We start from the raw sequence: 20,934 nt of genomic DNA on the forward strand, positions 1-20,934 counted from the left end.
ATCACATCTGCAAAGCTTCCTTTTCCATGCAACCTAATGTCATCACAGGCTCAGCAAATTTGGTAGTCATCTTCGGGGGACTGTTATTCTGCCACACATAACAGGTGAAGAAACTGAGGCCCAGGGAAGTTAAGTGACATTCTAATCTTCACACTCAGTGCATAGTTGGGACTAAAGCCCATGTTTCTTTATACAATTTTTTTATTGATACTTATTTGTACATATCTATGAGGTACATGTGCTATTTTGTTACATGCATAGAATGTGTAATAATCAGGTAGGGTATATAGGGTATCCATCACTGAAGTGTTTATCTAAGTGTTAGGAAGATTTCAAGTTCTCTCTTCCAGCTATTTTGAAACACATATACATTGTTGTTAATTATAGTCACCATACTCTGCTATTGAATATTAGAACTTATTCCTTTGATCTAACTGTATGTTTGTGCCCATTAACCAACCTCTCTTCATTACCCTTCTCCCACCCCACACACACTTTCCAACCTCTGGTATGTATTATTCTACTTTCTACCTCCACGAGAGGAACAATTTTAGCTCCCACATATGAGTGAGAACATGCAATATTTGTATTTCTGTGTCTAGCTTATTTCACTTCACTAATGACCTCCAGTTCTATCATGTTGCTGCAAATGACAGTATTTCATTCATTCTTAATGGTCAAATAATATTCCGTTGTGTATATATACCACATTTTCATGATCTTTTGATGTGTTGATGGACACAGGTTGATTCTATATCTTTGCTATTGTGAATAGTGCTGCAATAAATATGGGGGTGCAGGTATCCCTCTGATACACTGTTTTCTTTTCTATTGGATACATTCTTAGTAGTAGGATTGCTGGATCAAATGGTAGATCTGTTTTTAGTTTATTTTTTAGAAAGCTTCATACTGTTTTCCATAGTGGCTGCACTAATTTACATTTCCACCAAAAGTGTATAGGAGTTCCCTTTTCTGTGCATCCTCACCAGCATTTATTTTTTGTCTTTTTGATGATAGCCATTCCAAATAGAGTAAGATGGTATCTCACTGTGATTTTGATTTGCATTTCCTTGATGATGAATGATTTGAGCATTTCTTCATATATCTGTTGGCCATTTGTATGTCTTTTTTTTTTTTTGAGAAATGTTGACTGATGCCTTTTCCCACATTTTAATGAAAGGATGATGATTATTATTATTTTACTGTTGAAGTGTTTTAGTTCCCTGTATATTCTGGATATTGGTCACTTGTCAGAAGAATAGATTGCAAATACTTTCTTCCATACAACAGGTTGTCTCTTCACTCTGTTGTTTGCTTTGCTGTGCAGAAGTTTTTAGTTTCATATAGTTCAATTTATTTTTATTTTTGTTGTCTGTGCTTTTGAGGTCTTTGCCCAGACCAATGTCCTGAAGTGTTTTCTCTATGTTTTCTTCTAGTAGATTAATAGTTTCAGGTCATAGGTTTAAGTCTTTCATCCATTGTGTGTTGATTTTTGTATACAGTGGGAGACAGGAATCCAGTTTCATTCTTCTGCATATAGATATCCAATTTTTCCAGCACCATTTATTGAAGAACATGTCCTTTCCCCAATATATATTCTTGCCATCTCTGTCAAAAATCAGTTGGCTATAAATATATCGATTTATTTCCGGGTTCTCTATTCTCTCTATATTGGTCTGTGTTTTTATAACAGTTTCATGCTGTTTTTGTTTCTATAGCCTTGTAATATATTTTGAAGTCAGGTAGTGTGATGCCTCCAACTTTGTTCCTTTTGCTCAGGATTGCTGTGCTCTTCTTAGGTTTCATATAATATTTAGGATTGATTTTTCTAATTCTGTGAAGAAAGACATTGGTATTTTCGTAGGGACTGCACTAAATCTGTTGATTACTTTGGGCAGTATCTTCATTTTAACCATGCCGATTTTTCCAATCCATTAACATGGAATGTCTTTTCATTTGTTTGTGTCCTCTTCAATTTCTTCTTTCATCAGTGTTTTGTATTTTTCCTTATAGAAGTATTTCACATTCTTTGTTAAATTTATTCCAAGTTATTTTATTTTTTGTAGCTGTTGTAAATGGGATTGCCATCTTGATTTCTCAGTTCATTATTGGTGTATAGAAACAATACTGATTTTTTAATGTTGATTTTTGAATCCTGCAACTTTACTGAATTTATCAGATCTAGAACCCTTCTGGTGAAGTCTTTAGGTTTTCCTAGCTATAAGATATCATCTTTAAAGAAGTACAATTTAAATTCCTCTTTTCCAATTAGGAAGCCTTTTATTTCTATCTCTTGCCTAATTGCTCTGTCTAGGACTTCCAGGACTATATTGAATAGGAGCGGTAAAAGTGAGAATCCTTGTCTAGTTCCAATTCTTAGAAGAAAGGCTTTAGGTTTTCCCATTCAGTATAATGTTAGCTGTGTTACCATATACAGCCTTTATTATGTCAAGATACACTCCTTCTATGCCTATTTTGTTGAGTGATTTTTTATCATGAAGAGATGTTGAGTTTTATCAAATGATCTTTCTGCATCTATTGAGATGATTGCATGGTTTTGTTATTTATTCTGTTGATGTGATATAACATGTCTAGTGATTTCCATATGTTGAACCATCCTTGCATCACTGGGATAAATTTCACTCGATCATGGTGTATCATTTTTTGGATGTGCTGTTGTTCTGTTCAGGTTTTCTATTTCTTCCTGATTCAATGTTGGTAGGTTGTATGTGTCCAGGAATTTATCCATTTTCTTTAGGTTTTTCCAGTTTGTTAGCATATAGGTGTTTATGATAGTCACTGATGATCTTGTGTATTTCCGTGCTATCAATTGTTCCATTTCCTTTTTTGTTTCTGATTTTGGTTTTTTTGCATCTTCTCTATTTCTTGGTGGGTTTAGCTAGTGGCTTGAGATTTTTCTTTCTGGAAAAACATTTTTTTCATTCTTTGTATTTTGTTGTCTCTATTTTTAGTTCTGCTCTGATATTTACTATTCCTTTCCTTCTACTAATTTTGAATTTGGTTTATTCTTGCTTTTCTAGTTTCTTGGAGTGCATCATTAGATTGTTCACTTGAAATCTTTCTACTTTTTTGCACAATTATTGCTATGAACTTCCCTCTTAGTACTGCTGTTGCAGTATTCCATAGGTTTTGGGAAGCTTTGTTTCAATTTTGTTTCAAGAAATTGTTTTATTTTCTCAATTTCTTCCTTGACATGATGGTCATTCAAAAGCATATTGTTTCATTTCTATGCATTTGTAGAGTTTCCAAAGTTCCTCTTGATCCTGATTTCTAGTCTTATTCCATTGTGATCTGTGGAGATACTTGATATAATTTTGCTTTTAAAAAATTTGTTGAGACATGTTTTGTGGCCTAACACATAGTCTATCCTGAAGAATATTCCATGTGCTGACATGAATGTGTATTTTGTAGCTGTTGGAAGGAATGTTCTATAAATGTCTGTTATGTATATTTGATCAAATGTGCAATTTAAATCCACTATTTTATTTAATTTTCTGTCTAGATGATCTAATGCTGAGAGTGGGGTGTTGAAGTCCCCAATTATTATTGTATCACAGTCTATTTCTCCCTTTAAATCTAATAATATTTGCTTTATGTATTTGGGTGCTCTGGTGTTGCGTGCATGTATGTTTAGAATTATATCCTCCTGCTAAATTGTTCCATTTATTATTATATAAGGACCTTATCTCTTTTTACTGTTTTAAAGTGTGTTTTATCTAATATAAGTGTAACTACTCCTGGTTACTATTGGTTTCCACTTGCAGGCAATATCTTTTTCCACACCCTTACTTTCAGTCTATATGTGCTTTATAGGTAAGGTGAGGTTCTTGTAGGCAGGATATATTTGAATTTTTTTAAATCTATCCAGCCAGTCTATATCTTTTAAGTGGAAAGATTAATCTATTTACTTTCAAGGTTACTATTGATATATGAGGTCTTATTTCTGTCATTTTATGAATTGATTTCTTGGGGTTTAATACCCTTTGTTCCTTTTTCCTCTTATAATTGGGGTTTGGTGCTTTTCTTTTAAAATGGTAACATTTAAATTTTTTCTTTTTCTTATTTGTATGTTTGTTCTACCAGTGGGTTTTATACTTTTTATATTTTCATGAAGGTAAATATTGTTTTTTCACTTCCAAATGTAGGACTGGTCTAGTGCTGATGAATTCCCTCAGCTTTTGATTTTCTGTGAAGGACTTTATATCACCTTTATTTAAGAAGGCTAACTTTGCTGGGTAAAGCATCTTTGGCTGGTAGTCCTTTCCTTTCAGCAATTTGGATATGTCATTCCATTCTCTTGGCTTGTAAGGTTTCTGCAGAGAAATATGCTATTATCTGATTGAGGTTCTCCTTTAAGTCACTAAATGCTTTCCTTCTGCTATTTGTAGAAGCCTCTTTGTCTTTGACTTTTGACAGTTTTACTCTAATGTGATCTGAAGACGACCTTTTTGAACTGCATGTATTTAGGGATCTCTGTGTTTCCTCTATCAGAGTGTCTAAATATCTTGCTAGACTTGGGAAGTTTCAGCTATTATTTCATGAAATAGGTTTTTTATCTCTTTGGTTTTATCTTAGCCTTCTGGAATGCCAAAAATTCAAATACTTGGTCACTTTATGGCATCCTATATGTCATGTAGGCTTTATTCTTTTCTATTTTCTTTTGTGTCTTACTAAATTATTTCAAAAAACCTGTTTTCAAGTTCTAAAGTTCTTTCTTTTGCTTGATCTAGTTGATTGTTGAAGCTCTTGAATGTATTTTTCATTTCATTCAATGAATTCATCTGTTCCAGGATTTCTGTTTGGTTCTTTTTTTATGATACGTATCTCTTTGGTAACTTTTTCATTTATATCCTGCATTTTTTTTCTGATTTATTTGTATTATTTATCTGTGATTTATTTGTATTTATCTTTGTATCTGAGTTCCTTTAATATCTTTATTTTGAATTTTTTTTGGCTACATCTATGTTGTTGGGTAGGCATTGATCTTGGCTGTGTGCAATAGTGTAGGCTCCACATACTTTATTTGGCTAAATATCATCAGTGGCATCTGCTATTTCCTTCATGTCTTAATGTGTGGTTGTTAGTGGAGGCTGTCGTGAAGTTTTGCTGGGGGCAGGAACACTAGGTGGGCCAGTCCTCAAGCCCCAGTGATCACAGCAGTGTGCTGAGTATGACTGTTTTGGGGCCCTAGGGTAGTATGCAGGCATTGTTGTTAGCAGATCCATGCAAGTTGATTCTTGCACCAGCAGTGGGATTGCCCAGGTGCCAGCAATCATTCAGGTATGTGGGCAGGTCCTTGGGCCCCTAGGCAGCAGGCATGGCAATAGTGATGGCAGTCATGGTATCATGACTATCATGGTATCATGGTAGTGGCAGGACAACCTTCTGGCTCCTAAACAATCTGCATTGGTGTTGGCAGTGGCTGTGATGAGCTTGCAGGGCCAGGCCCTGGGCTTGCAAGTGGTGCATGTAGTTGGGTGCCAGCTGTGGTGGTAGTTTCAGGTTGGGTGGGCCTGTCTTCAAGGCCCCAAGAGGAGTGCTGAGGTGCCAACAGTGATAGACTGGACAAAACAGTCCCCAGGCTCCCGGACAACATGCTCAGACACTGGGTAGAAGGTGGGGACTCAAAGTCAGGTATGATGGACCTGTCCTCAAGCCAGCCAGCTTTTGGGTGCTGACTAAGGTGGGAAGGGATGGGGTGATCCCCAAGCTCCTGGTGGAGTGATTGGGTATGGGTGGTAGTGGCTATACTATAGCCTTGATCCTGGGGAAGGCAGAATTGCTTTCAGTGTCAGTAGCCATAGACAGACAGCTGGGGATACATGCTTTAGCCCCTGTTGTGACTGCGAGCAGTGAAGCCCAACTTTGGAGCACTTGTAAATGCACAGCAGCCCCTGTGCTGGCAAAGGGGGAGCAGGGTCACTGCCAGTGGAGCATGCTTTGGTACTCAGTGGCAGCAGTCTGCAGGTAGGGGGAGTTTGTCCTCAGGGCACATGAAAATGTGTGGTGGCCTTGCTGCCAGGGACTGTGGGGTCATTGTGAATGTGTTGTGCTTTGGCCCTGGCAGCTGCAGCCAACAGTGTCAGTGGCTGCAGGCAGGGGATGTCAATGGGGCTCTAGGGATGTGGAGATACAGAGCTGTTGAGCCCCATGGCTGAATGCAGTCTGGTTGGGGCTGGGCTTTCAAAATGGTGCTGTGCTGTAGTTGCTTAAGACTCGGGGTGTGTGGGACCCAGTGTGAGCTCCTTCTCTGGAGCAATGCCTTCATGCAGTCTCCAGGCAGCTTTCTATGTTACTCTCAGAGCCTGCAAGGGTTGAGTGGCTCTCCTATGGTTAGAATTCCAGGAGTCCACAGTGTGAATGTGAATCTTCTGGGGTCTCTTGCTTACTCTTTCTCCGCATTGGGAAGCTACTTTGGGCTCCCAGCTAATCTCAGCTGAGCAGACTGTCTTACTTCCCTCGGCTTTTTCGTTTTAGGTATTTCCTGTCACTTCTCTGTTGAGTTCTGGAGTTCTCTTAGATGATCTATTTGGACTGCGATTGTCTACTCACTGTTTTGGTTCTTCTTTGTGAAGTAGGTGAGTACCAGATGCTTCTAGCCAGCTACCTTGAGGCACCCCCTTCCCATGTTTCTTACTTTCTAGATCTCTGATCTTTCTAGTATGCTTGACTAAAAAAAAAAAATCTCACATTTGACTGTTTAGTAAATCAAGGACAGCAGTCAACATGAGGTTTATGCTATTATATACTGTTTTGACTCTTTCTTAGGGTTAATGAAAACAACTCAGGATGTTTGGAAGGGTGTACATTTTAGTTACAGAAAGGATTAGGTAGATCTATTCTACTAATTCAAGTACAAAAGGTCATAGGCTAGAGAAGAAGTGGTTATAACATAAAATCTAAGCTTGTCTAGTGTTACTACAATATGCAAATCCAATAATTGAAGAAATAGGGTTATCAAACTTAGAAGGTTAAGAGAGCAGACTCAAATGAGCTATAATGTCAACAAATTCATATTTTCTGTGTTTAGAAGAGTGTCACTTGTCCTTTGAAATGCTTGTTTTCTGAGGGACTGAGAATACTATTTCTCTTTTCATGCAACTGGAAGAAAATTCTGTGAATAATTCAAATAAAATACAGAGCATGGTCTGCATTCTTGTGGAGTTTGCAGTATAACCATTAATGCAAAAACAAAAGAAAATGAATAATTAGGGAAAAATTAAATGAAATTCACATGTGCTAATAGCTATAAGCACAATTGGTTCAGAGAAAAAGGTGGATCACTGGGCTAGAGTGGCCAGAGAAGCCTTTATGGTAGAGGTCGAATTAAATTTGGCCTTGAAATCAGGAATACAAGCTTCAAAAATATTCACATCCTTGGTCTCAGTGAATCCAATAAGAATCCAACCAAAGAAATTAAAAATGCAGCCAAATACATCTTAGCACACCTTGTAACAGTGAAAAATCCTGAATGCGTCTCAAATAGAGAAATGATCAAATAAATTATAGTAGAGGAATACATGGGAATAGTATGCAGCTATTGAAATGAAGTTTTTGAAGAACTACTCATGATTGAAAAATACTTATATTGTTGTCAATAAAAAGGATAATACACAACTTTATACTGTATTTATAAAGATCATTTCAACAAAGACTCTTTAAAAGTCAATAAAATGTATTATATTTCTAGTAGAAAAAGAGTAATACAGACACTTGCCTCAGAGACCAGAAAAGTTACAGCAGAGGTTGTCTTATTTCCAAGAAAGCACATACAGTAGCTGCTGGCTATCCAAGTTCCTCCATCCTCTCCTGAGGACTCCTTATATCAAAGAGAGCCTGTAGAAGATACCTTAAGAGTCTTATCACCACCCACTACATGAAATGGCAAGCTCAGCTAATCTAGGATAGATAATGTTGAGTTAAGGCAGGAAAAATATCAAATAGGTGAAAATACAACTGACTCTAAAATAAGTGCAAGGTGAGATTCTGGAGAACAACTCTTGCTTGGATGGCCAGGGGAAACAAAGTAGGAAAAAAGAGAAGCTGTAGAAGGGATACAGACAGGTGGAGGGGGAGGCAACTGAGAACCTGATATGGATGAGACAGCATCAATGTATTATTTGAATCATTTTCTGAGATCATTCTGAAGGTATTCTTGGTCCTGGTCAGATAGGCATAAAAGCAGCCTCCGGCCCAACAACTGAAATCCTGGGTACCTACCCAACAGAAACAAAAAGATGTGTCTGCATAAAAGCTTGCACGCTACTGTTCATAGTGGCTTTATTCATAGAAGCCAAAAAGTCAAAAAAAAAATCACAGATATTCAACTTCTGAATGAATTTTTAAAATGCAATATATCCATAAAATGGAATATTACTCAGCAATAAAAAGAAGCAATGATACATGCTATGGCATGCATGAATCTGTAAAACATTATGGTAAGTGAAAGAAGCCACATGCAACAGGTTTTATTGGATAAATCCATTTATATGATATGTCCATAATAGGCTAATCTATAGAGACAGAAAATGATTACTTAGAGGTGGGGATGGGATGGTGGTTTTGGTGGGTGGTATCAGGAATGTGAATAACTGCTTAAGGGTATGGGGTTTCTATTTGAGGTGATGGAATGTTCTAAAATTAGATCATAGTAATGGCTGTACAACTCTGTACATTTTCTAAAAATTATTGAATTATACACTTAAAATGAGCAAATTATTCAGTAGGTAAATTATACTTTTATAAAGCTATGAAAAAATAAAAATAGCTTATTAAGACCTCTCCCTGAGTCTGCATAAGTCCATGTCTATATGACCACTTGGCCTTCCACAAAGAAAATTTGAACCCTGATAATAGGTTTTTATGTCTAGTGGAACCCTCTTAGCTCCAGAGAGCCTCAGAATACAAGGGTCCCATTGGAGTGGAGTTTTCCCAGGATATATTTTATGATGGTGTGGAAGGAAATTGGCTCTGGCCTATTGGCATCATTGTATAGTTGGGCTAGAATACTTGTACAAGGTGACCTAGGTCCAACTCAAAGGGCACGAGGAAGGAGAGAGAATATGATCATTTAAGGCCCACTAGCCACAAAAGGCTTGTGGGTTACTTGGGGAGATCATCCGAAGCCAGCTACTGTTAGTGTGGCTCTTTCTGAAGCTAGCTCTGGCCAGGTGTCCTCCATGCATAGGCCTCTGTGTGGGTGGTGGTGGTGGGCAGGAGGCAGTGATGTGCGAAAGCTGGCTCCTACTTCCTTGCAATAAGCTATTCAGCACAAATCTCTTCCCAACTCCATGTTCAGTAATACCATGGTAGTAGCTTAAAATCAACCATGGTGAGTTTATATCATGAAAATTGGCAGATGCTACAAATCAAATCAATCATTTATGAATTTTTGTTTTAATAGAGTCACTCGTTAAACATTGAACCACCAATGAGGGCCAAGCATGCATCTTATGTATGTGTTCATCTGTTGGCAATGTGTCATTGGCTCCTGTATTTGAGGTTAGTGGTCTCTCCAGCTTTGTGACTGTTGGGTTGTCCACTGAAAGTCTTGAAGATGTGGGTGTAGGAAGGCTACTGACCCATGTTATCTTTAAGATTCTGGATCTAAGATTAAAGAACATGGCATTGACTAGCAGTCTGCACCCTAAGGAAAGAAAGACACACTAGGCATAGTGCAGGACTTTGAGCATCAGCAACAACTTTGTGTAAAACCCCTGGAATATCTCATCCTCCATTTACCTGCTGTTACCAAACCAAAGAAAATGGAGAAAAACTGGTTCAGTGTTCCCAATTTCCTGAATGCCTTTGATGCCCTTTATGTAGAAGCTCAGCTGCAGTTTCATAAAGAAGCATGTGGGAATGCCACTGATGTGTGGCTATAGAAGAACAAGGAGTATTCTTCTTTGTTAGGATAGAACATAAAGACTAAGTTTGCATTGTAGAAATATTGCTTAAAGTTAAAAAAGAGCACAGTGAGTTGGCAGGTGTTAACTTTCTGAAATCAAGGCCAAAGTCAAGGGTGGAATCTTCATTTGATAGGTGGGTAGAACCATTGGCAAATTCGATGTTGAGAGCTTTGGAATATTAGGTGAAAATGCCTCCAAACTTCTTTGACAATTAATAGTGTCAAAATATAAAATTTCAACAAATTTAGTTAAATGAGCTAATTTGTTTTTATTTGCAATTCATGAATTGGCTAGCATCTCATCTAAAAGTAGAGAGGCACAATGCTGGGCATGAAATAACAGTCAGTTTTCATAAGGTAGCTTGAGCAGGAGCAAGGAAACAGCATAATACAAAAAGGGGATTGGTTAACATGAGATTACTCCAGGTTACTTTTCTTGTAAGGGTTAAAGCAGAGAGGACTTCCTTTTCATGCTGGCTAAAACAGATCTGTTCGGGATTTGGCCATTATCTCTCCAGATTTCTTGGAATGTAAACAGATAAACAACTTAGTTTCGGTTTGGTGACCTGGAATTTTAGCATGAGTGACTTCATTTTGGTCTGGTCTATTGGAGACTAGTGTTAAGAGCTCAGTCCAAATCTATGGTCTCCTATAAATTTTATTTAACAATCGTTTTGGCGTATCTCTTCCTCCAGATGTGGTAGAATTATCAGTCATTTTCAATGTCTTTAAATTTTTTTCTGTATTTTACTAAATTCCCGAATGTGTGAAATTATTGATTTTATAATCAAATTAAAGTTATCTAAAAATAGGATTTTAAAAATTGGAAGTCAGAAAAGAGAACATGATAAATCAAGGGAATAGCATAAAGTAAACAAGTTCAGGACAGGCTTGAAAGTCAAGCACAGAAGTTCGAATTTAATAGCAATAGGGAGTTATTACATACTCTTCATTAGTATAGGGAAAATTTTGTGCTTTAGTGAAAACGAGGCATTGTTTAGAGCACACCCTTTTAGATTATCAGGTTCTAACCTTTGATTGCCCTTGAGCCATTGTACAACTCTAAATTTTAAGGAACTGATGGCAATAATGCAAATGATTCTTGTCTATGGATGTGGAAGTGAATTCTATCCAGAAGAGGGAGGCCACCTCTGCCAAAAAAAAAAAAAAAAAAAAAAAAAAGTTTACCCCCATTTGCAAGTTCATTTCAATATTCTAGATCTATACATGTGTCTTTGTACCCACTGTAAAAGTTGCCAGATTCTCTCATTAATAATGACTTGAAATCACTAACACATGTCACTTTATATCTGTGAAAGAGTCATAATTTTTATTTTTGAAAATTATCTTTTAACAGTAGGCAAGTGTACTGGATGAGAGTAATGTTTTTAATGCAGATATAACACACAGGCAAACTTCCCCAAGTGTGCTGCCTGATAACTTAAAAGGAAGATAACTGAACACAAACAGAAGTCAGAAAAAAAGATTAAAATTATATAAGTAGTTCTATGGTAAAAGCAATCTGAATTTGGCTAAGTACAATAGCAGCCTGTTTTCATCAGCAGTCTGGTTGTTGTGACCTTTCTGCTTTTGCACTGACAGTGTTTTTCTCATTTTCTTTTCTTCATTGCTAAACTGAATAAGATACAAACAAATCTTCTGTTAGACAAGAATCCCATCTTCCTTTTTTGCTTGGGGCCTTTTGTGTTCTATTATGATAATTTACAAAAGTTAATAAATGAACTCCTCAATTATCTGTGCTGACTTGAGGGAGTATCAGCACACAAAAGCATTACTAATCAGCCCAGAACTTTCTCTTCTACCACAACAATATTTAAGAGGGAATGTAGGAGGCAGGCACCAGTGAGTTCCTAAATGTCTGCCCATGGACAATCAAGTCTACCTGGAACACTTTGAAAAGAATCAGATACCTAAGGCACCACTCTACAGATTCTGATTCTGGGGTTATTAATATGCTTCTGAATGATTCTCATCCCAACCCAAGCCCAGTTTGGGAATAGTGCAGGTGAAAGAGTGAATTCAAATGGATCTTTCTTTGATGACTGCCCTCTAAATGGACCTCTTTAAAATGCTTTCCGTTGTTTCAGCCTGCAACAAGACAGTGCTAGAAAGGCAAACACATACTATTCTAACTTGTCCATAAAGAAGGAAGAGAGAGCAGGGATTTCCAATGAGGCTATTACTGGTAAAACTAGTCAGGGGTTGGGTAGGGAGGGGGTTAGAGAAAGGCTTAAGAAAAAATCCTTGTGTTCCCAGTATTTTACATTCCCAATTAACTTGCTTCTTCAGTAATTGGCTGGGACAAAGGAGGTGTTAAAGGCTTTAGCAGAGAAAGCAATAAAATGTGGGCTTTGTGATGGAACAGAAGGGAGGCATTAAAAAGTAGTAGGGAAAGCCCATGCAAAGACTGAGGTGGGTGGAAAAGGGGACCATAAGATCAGCCAAGTGATGAGTGGGAGGTGACTCCTAGAGAACATGCAAAATCAAGATCTTTAGTCATGGCTCAACAGGAGATGAGAAATGTTTGAAACAAAGCAGTCTTTTATGTATCTCACAAAATGGTTCCTTGGGAGGCTATTCAGAACACACTACTTTGAATTACCTGATCTTTAAATGTATTTTGATTGTGAGGGTTTAATTATTTTTAAATGACTAAATTACAATCTACTCTATAATATGGTTATTTTCCTTTGGTTTTTGATCTGTTTTACTGGAAGCCCAGTGGACTTATTCAATCTAGGCTCAAAGAACTTGACTCTTTACAAAGGTTTACCCATCAAAACCATAACAATACATGATCCTTCTTCCCAGTCAGATATGCTACTATGTAAATTTATATATTAGAGAGTGAAAAATACACATCCTGTCAGAATCACTGACCTCAACAAGAAACGATGACTATAACACACAAGTGCAAGATGAACTACTAGCTAGAGGCTTGATAAACAACAAGTCAAAGAATAACCATACTGAAAATGTAATCCTTGTCAGAAACACTGAAATTTCTGGTAGATACTCAAACCAAGAAAGTGACATTTAGTCCAAAGTCCTACCTGTCAGGGGTCATCAGTGGACTGAATTTAAAAAAGAAAAAAATATTATTATTTTTGTCATTTCATATTTAGATATTTACTGTAAATAGAGCAGTCTGTTAAATTTTTTTTCCAAAATAGACAACTAGAAATAGAGATAGTTTTACTTTTTTGAATACTTGCGAATTCCTTCAGAGTCTCAAGGCCTGATCCATTTCTAGGTCTTCAGTTTTCTCAAGTTCTTTGAAGATTTAGGTTGACTGAACTGGAGAATAAAAAGCACAGGACAAAAATGGGTTTTTCAGGCAGTTCCTGCTATGCCAGAGACATCCCAGATCCCAGGCACTCTAAGTGAGTCTATTAAATATTATGGAACATGGTAGAGTATAATTTGAAACAACACAATACAAACAGATGGACTAAAATGTTAGCAAGTCCAGTTCTATTCCCAGGTGCATGAATAACTCTGTGATGTTGTTGATGATAATATTAACAAACCGATGGCTAAAATTTATTAAGCCTTTGTGTAGGTAGTACTGTTCCAAGTGATTTTATCATATCTTATTTCATCCACACAACACTCCAATAAAGTGGTAACCATTATTGTTCCTATTTTATAGGGAGAGAAATTGAGGCACAGAACTGTTACATTAGAGGCTTTTGTTTCATTTACTAATTTATTACAGAAAGAAGGAAAGGATACCAGTTCTTTGTACCAAAGTTCTTCTGAGCTATAAATGCTGAGCACTTTCTGAGGTTCTATAATATCTTTTAATATAACATATGAATTCAATAACACATTTCCTGCCTTCTACTAAATTTATCCTAGGAAAATATCACCAGCTGAAATTTATTACTTGACTTGGAATTTATCAATTCTATTTGCACCCTCTACAGAAAGTACACAGTTGCTTATGCAGTCTTTGAGGTGTGCTTCTAAAGTAATAAAACTGATTTTCATTTGTGGTCAATGAAAACCCCTCTTTTCATTTAAAGTCATACCTATAAGGCAGAAGCATGAAGTTATTATTTATATGATAAAGGTTAACATTGAGAGAGATAAGACTTTTTACTTCTCAGCACAGTGGCTCTCTATGGCGCCTATAGCAACAAATAAACTAATATTACAGAAAGTTACCTCTGGTGGGGCCTACAACCAGGGCTTCAAGATCCTCTCTCTGAGAAGAGTCCTTTTGTAATTAAACTGTTGTTTCCCAATATTGCCTGTTATTAAAATCACTACATTGCTGTTGAATAGAACATTCCAAGATGATGGAAACACATTATAATCTGTGCTATCTAGTATAGTACCCACTAGCCACATGTGGCTATTGAGCACTTGAAATGTGACTAATGCCACAGAGAAATATAATTTAATTTTAATTAACTTAAATTTAAATAGCCACAAGTAGTTAATGACTACTACTATATTAGACAGTGCAGAACGTTTGCCAAAAATTCACATCCCTGGGCCCTATATATATAGATCTAATGACCCGTAGAATCAGAATAATTAGTGCAGTGTCATTTCAATCTGCATTATTAACATTAAGTTAGTCAATGCTGACTGAACATTCAGTTTATTTAGACTTCTTCAAATTGCTATTATTCTTCAAGCCCATAATTCTAGGCCACTTCTGTTTCCAAACATAACACTGCATATAAGATATATTCAGTTATTTATACTCAGCATATTGTCATATTATAGAAAAATGAGCTATATTGTTACCAAGAGCCATGAGTATACTATGCTTCCTACACAGGCCTAGAATTGGTACTTAACTTTAAGAAAGTACCACATATAAAACTTTGCATTTTCAAAAAAGATAAATTAGGAAGTAATTATTCATTTCACAAAAGAATTCACCAAAGGGCTACTTTAAATATATAGCTCTCCTAAAATGAATTCTAAATCAGATTCAATTAAAAAAATTCAATTTGCACACAAATGTTCAAGAACCCATCTGTTGCCTCAAACCATCTACACCTGTGGATCATTTGCAATACCTCTGGAGACTGCAAGAGGTTTTTGCCATAAAAGCTATCATGCTGAAGCTGAAAGCACCCTATTCTATACTTTCAGGAGCTAACCTTCACTGTGTAAGCACATAATCTATGCCTTCTGGTGAGTTTTCTTTCCTTGGATGCTAAGTGCTATCTACAATATTTAGCTCAATTCAGTATCATTGCCAAATGGATCAAACAAAAGATTCTATTTGGAAGTTCTTTGAAAATGAAAACAAAAAGTAACATCCAGACTTCCGGTTTCTGGTCTGGCATGTAAGGAACTTAGAAGTCGCCATTCCAGTAGCCATGCCATTCTAACAACGAGTAAAAAGAATGAACAAACTAATAAATCAACAACTCTTCTTAGATCCGTCAGAGAAGTGAGGTCACAGAGTAAACCTGGTGCCCCCAAAATTGGAAAGACGGACAAACAGATATAGACAATAATAATTTAACAGAGGAAAATCCGTGAGCAGAAATCTCCTCAGGAGCCAATGCCTGGGTAGGAAAACCTGAACTGTAATTGATGAATTGTTTGAGATTCACTGTGGACAAGTCTGAGAATTAAAAACTCCAGAAGGAACCAGTCATCGGGAACTCCTACACAATGGAATTTACCTAAAAATCAATTACAAAAAAAAAAAAGCAAGAAAATCCAAAAATATTTGGAGATTAGACAACATACTTATAAAAAAGACATTGTTCAAAGGAGAAATCTCAAGATATATTTAAAAGTAGTCTGAACTAAATGAAAACTAAAAATAAAACTTACCAACATTTGTGAGGTATGGCAAAAGCAGTACTTAGAGGGAAATTGATAGCATTGCATGCCTTTATTAGAAAAGGAGAATAATTAAAATTAATAACCTAGGCTTCCACTTTAGAAAACTAGAAAAATTTAAATTAAAAACTTCTGCTCTATGAAAGACAGTATCAAAAGAATGAGAAGACAAGCCACAGACTGTGAGAAAATATTTGTAAAAAAAATCTGACAAAGGATTGTTATCCAAAATATGCAAAGAATCCTTAAAACTCAACAATAAATGAAATTGTTAAACAACCTGATTAAAAAATAGGCAAAAGGTTTGAACAGACATCTCATTAAAGAAAATATACAAATGGTAAGTAAGTATATGTAAAGATGTTCAATATTATATGTCATTAGGGAAATACAAATTCAAACAATGAGACACCACTACACACTTATTAGAATGGCCAAAATCCAGAACACTGACAACACCAAATACTGAAGAGGATGTGAAGCAGCAGGAATTCTTATTCATTGCTGGTAGAAATACACAATGGTGCAGTCACTTTGGAAGACAGTTTGGCAGTTTCTTACAAAACTAAACGTCCCCTTACCATACAATCCAGCAATCATGCTTCTTGCAATTTACCCACGTGAAATGATAACTTATGTCCACAAAAAAACCTATACATGGATGTTTATAGCAGCTTTCTTCGTAATTTCTAGAATTTGGAAGCAACTAAAATGCCCTTCAGCCGGTAAATTGATAAATAAACTGTGGTACATCTAGACAATAGAATATTACTCAGTGCTAAAAGACGTGAATGATCAAGCCATAAAAACACACAGAACAAACTTAAATGCATATTGCTAAGTGAAAGGAGACATTCTGAAAAGACTACATAGCTTATGGTTTCAATTATATGACATTCTGGAAAAGGCAAAACTACAAAAACAGTAAAAAGATTAGTGATTTCAAGGGTTAGGGAAAAGGGAGAAATGAATGAGTGGCACACAGAGGATTTTTTATATACTATAATGGTGGACATTGTCATTATGTCCAAACCCATAGAACATATAACACCAAGAGTGAAACCTAATGTAAACTATGGACTTTGGGTGATACAGATAAGTCAGTGTAGGTTCATCAGTTGTAACAAATGTACTACTCTAATGAGAACTGCTGATAGGAAGGTTGAACATGCGTGGGGACAGGGTTCTATAGGAATTCTTCGCACTTTCCAGTCAATTTTGTTTTAAACCTAAAACTGCGCTAAAAAATAAAGTTTATTTTTAAAAAAGTAATACACAACTGTGAAGGTAATATTAGATTGAAAAATGATCCCATTTTGCCCAGAACAACCCCATTTATACCTGTTTCTCTGGCAAAATTTTTAATAGTGCCCCTTTTCTCTCTGTGTCCTGGCTGGGACAATGAGTTGCATACTTCTCCCCCTCCAATATCACGCAGTCTTTTCATGGCACAATCTCATTTGTGCTGTAACAGTGTTTCTGAAACATCTTGCTTAAAAATTTAAAAGTTCAGATCCCTTCCTTGGATATTCTGGTTTAGTAGGTCTGGGATAAAGCTTGGAAATGTGTACTTTTAACAGCATCCCAGTGGATTTGCATAACAGGGCATTAAACCAAAGATGTGATTTAGACAATCTTGAATTTCATGCAAAACTAGCGTATTTCTTTTTTTGTATTAAGATTGGCTCAGGTCATAGAGGGTTTCTTGCTGCAGTCTATCAACAATTATGAGTATTTTGACAAATTCACATTTTATCTTAATAATTTGGTTTGGGGATGGTTCCCATAAAATTGAACATGTTTTAGGACCTAAGCATGTGTCATTACTTTAGCAAAGATAACACAGTGAAGGCTCAGAATAACAGTCCATACATCTAGTTTTCTTTTCCCCTTACTGCAAAAAGACAAGCTGCATTTTCTGAGGTATGTTAACTCTGCTTCCAAGAATATTGAAGAAATGTACACACAAGAAATTGCAGAAAGGAATATAGAGTTCTAAGTGGGGGTGAAAAATCTGTTACTAATTTGCAGATTTGGAGGTTGCCATCACAACTGCAAATCAAAATTATTGTTTTCTTTTTTAAAACAAATAATTTTGCTTGTTATATTTTTGAATATATTCTTATTCATTGCTGGTAGGAATGCAAAATGGTATAAATGGGAATAAAAGACTATAGGTTTTATATCTGAGCAAACCAATTCCTTCAATTCTCTCAAGCTTCTGACAGGACCTAGGTACCTTACCCTATTTTGTGACTCCAAACGCAAATGCAAAGCAAAGCTAAACCGTTGGAATACAAACCCTTTCATGGATTTGTGTGCAAAAGCCTTTGTCTGGAGGTGTCTGTTAAAAAGCATACACTATATAAAGACATCTCTTTTTCATGTCTACTCCTCTGGTGGCCAAGCTGAAACAAAGATCACATTTCAAACATGCCATGCTAGCTATGACATGCTGAGAACTGTGCACAATTTCATCATTTCCATCCTTTTAACTTAATTCAAAAATGCAAAGAATATAGATCAAAAGCTTTGCATTCTGTTTTAAATTATATCTTTGTTACCTAAATTGTTATTTTGACATGTTTAGTACTATTTCCTGTCCAGTAGAAAAAAAAAAAAACTATTTGCCAAAAATTCTACATAATTGTTCTCTGTTATGCAATTTGAATTCAAAGAATAGATAAACCTGGTTAGTAACAGATGCTGCTGCAGTGGTTGGCATTTGGCCAATGCAAAGCAACCTTGAACATATTCACATGACCAAGTGAGAACTCTATAAAAATTCTGTGCACCTTTTCTATCTAATTACTCTATTATGTTTCAAGTAATCACAATGATGTGTATTTTCTTTTGAGCAGGAGAGAAAATTGAATATGCCTTGTTAGAGTAAAGAAAGGAAACTAACAACCACCATACTAGGAAAAAAACTGTTAAAGTATGAACAATCTTTATAAATGTTCAATAATTTTTCATATCTTGCTTATAAACAAGCAAGTTTATTGTATTCTCTATAAATTATCAAAATATAATGTTATTCTCCAGTTGAATTTGAAAGTGTATATTCCTGAAAGGAAAGACAGTTTTTAAATAGAGAAAACTAGAATTATTTGATGGAGTACTACTGCTACCGGGTGTGTGTGTTTGCCTGCATATGCATATGAGGGAAGTAAGGGGGAATAATATTAGCCTCTAAGTCATTTCTTAAAAATTATACCCCATTTAATTATCAAAAAAATTCAAAATCTTAAATCAAGTTGCTAATTAGAACTGTGAAATTTGGGGCTTAAGTATTATATAATTTGTTTTTGGTATTAAAAAAGCACGTGGTAAGATTTAATTTGGTAAATTAGATAGCTTTTAATATAAGTAAAGGTTTTCAACGACCCAAATGCAAATATGTGGCCAGTAATAGAAGCATTTATTTTAGGCCTTTGTCTTATAATTTTAAAAATCTAAATGTTATATATTTTAAGAATGAATTGGCAATGGAAAATATCAGAAATAAAATTATCTACGGTTGACCAGTCTAAAAATGACTTAGCATTAATGCTAAAAACTAGACACTGCACACAAGTAGTTAAATATGGCCTGAAATATGTTTTGTTTGTTCTATGAAGTATTAAAATTCTCTTAAAATTAACGACAAATTAATCAAGAAATCTTACATTAAAATCCTGATCTTCAGCAATTGCTCTGGGAGGCTCCATATCGCTATAAAAGCTGTATTTTTTTATCTCTTTTAGATATTAGAGTCTCGATAAAATACTGGCAAACCGAATGCAGCAGCACATCAAAAAGCTTATCCACCATGATCAAGTGGGCTTCATCCCTGGGATGCAAGGCTGGTTCAACATACGCAAATCAATAAATGTAATCCAGCATATAAACAGAACCAAAGACAAAAACCACATGATTGTCTCAATAGATGCAGAAAAGGCCTTTGACAAAATTCAACAACCCTTCATGCTAAAAACTTTCAATAAATTAGGTATTGATGGGACGTATCTCAAAATAATAAGAGCTATCTATGGCAAACCCATAGCCAATATCATACTGAATGGGCAAAAACTGGAAGCATTCCCTTTGAAAACTGGCACAAGACAGGGATGCCCTCTCTCACCACTCCTATTCAACATAGTGTTGCAAGTTCTGGCCAGGGCAATCAGGCAGGAGAAGGAAATAAAGGGTATTCAATTAGGAAAAGAGGAAGTCAAATTGTCCCTGTTTGCAGATGACATGATTGTATAGCTAGAAAACCCCATCACCTCAGCCCAAAATCTCCTTAAGCTGACAAGCAACTTCAGCAAAGTCTCAGGACACAAAAACAATGTGCAAAAATCACAATCATTCTTATACACCAACAACAGACAAACAGAGAGCCAAATCATGAGTGAACTCCCATTCACAATTGCTTCAAAGAGAATAAAATACCTAGGAATCCAACTTACAAGGGACGTGAAGGACCTCTTCAAGGAGAACTACAAACCACTGCTCAAGGAAATAAAAGAGGATACAAACAAATGGAAGAACATTCCATGCTCATGGGTAGAAAGAATCAATATCGTGAAAATGGCCATACTGCCCAAGGTAATTTATAGATTCAATGCCATCCCCATCAAGCTACCAATGACTTTCTTCACAGAATTGGAAAAAACTACTTTAAAGTTCATATGGAACCAAAAAAGAGCCCGCATCGCCAAGTCAATCCTAAGCCAAAAGAACAAAGCTGGAGGCATCATGCTACCTGACTTCAAACTATACTACAAGGCTACAGTAACCAAAACAGCATGGTGCTGGTACCAAAACAGAGATATAGATCAATGGAACAGAACAGAGCCCTCAGAAATAATGCCACACATCTACAACTATCTGATCTTTGACAAACCTGACAAAAACAAGCAATGGGGAAAGGATTCCCTATTTAATAAATGGTGCTGGGAAAACTGGCTAGCCATATGTAGAAAGCTGAAACTGGATCCCTTCCTTACACCTTATACAAAAATTAATTCAAGATGGATTAAAGACTTAAATGTTAGACCTAAAACCGTAAAAACCCTAGAAGAAAACCTAGGCAATACCATTCAGGACATAGGCATGGGCAAGGACTTCATGTCTAAAACACCAAAAGCAATGGCAACAAAAGCCAAAATTGACAAATGGGA

General features: G+C 36.1%; 1 pseudogene, besides 1 other annotated feature; it reads right to left on the reverse strand.

Annotated features, from left to right (window-relative positions):
• Positions 6,054–6,554: an enhancer, noted in NCBI's record as "H3K27ac hESC enhancer chrX:97599907-97600407 (GRCh37/hg19 assembly coordinates)". NCBI's record gives its function as "activates a minimal SCP1, AML or CMV promoter by ChIP-STARR-seq in naive and primed H9 embryonic stem cells {active_cell/tissue: H9 hESC(naive and primed)}" and the evidence as "EXISTENCE:reporter gene assay evidence [ECO:0000049][PMID:30033119]".
• On the reverse strand, positions 9,645–10,146 carry LOC100420955 (scavenger receptor class B member 1 pseudogene; annotated as a pseudogene).

Source organism: Homo sapiens, chromosome X, assembly GCF_000001405.40.
Source record: "Homo sapiens chromosome X, GRCh38.p14 Primary Assembly".
Lineage (NCBI taxonomy): Eukaryota > Metazoa > Chordata > Mammalia > Primates > Hominidae > Homo > Homo sapiens.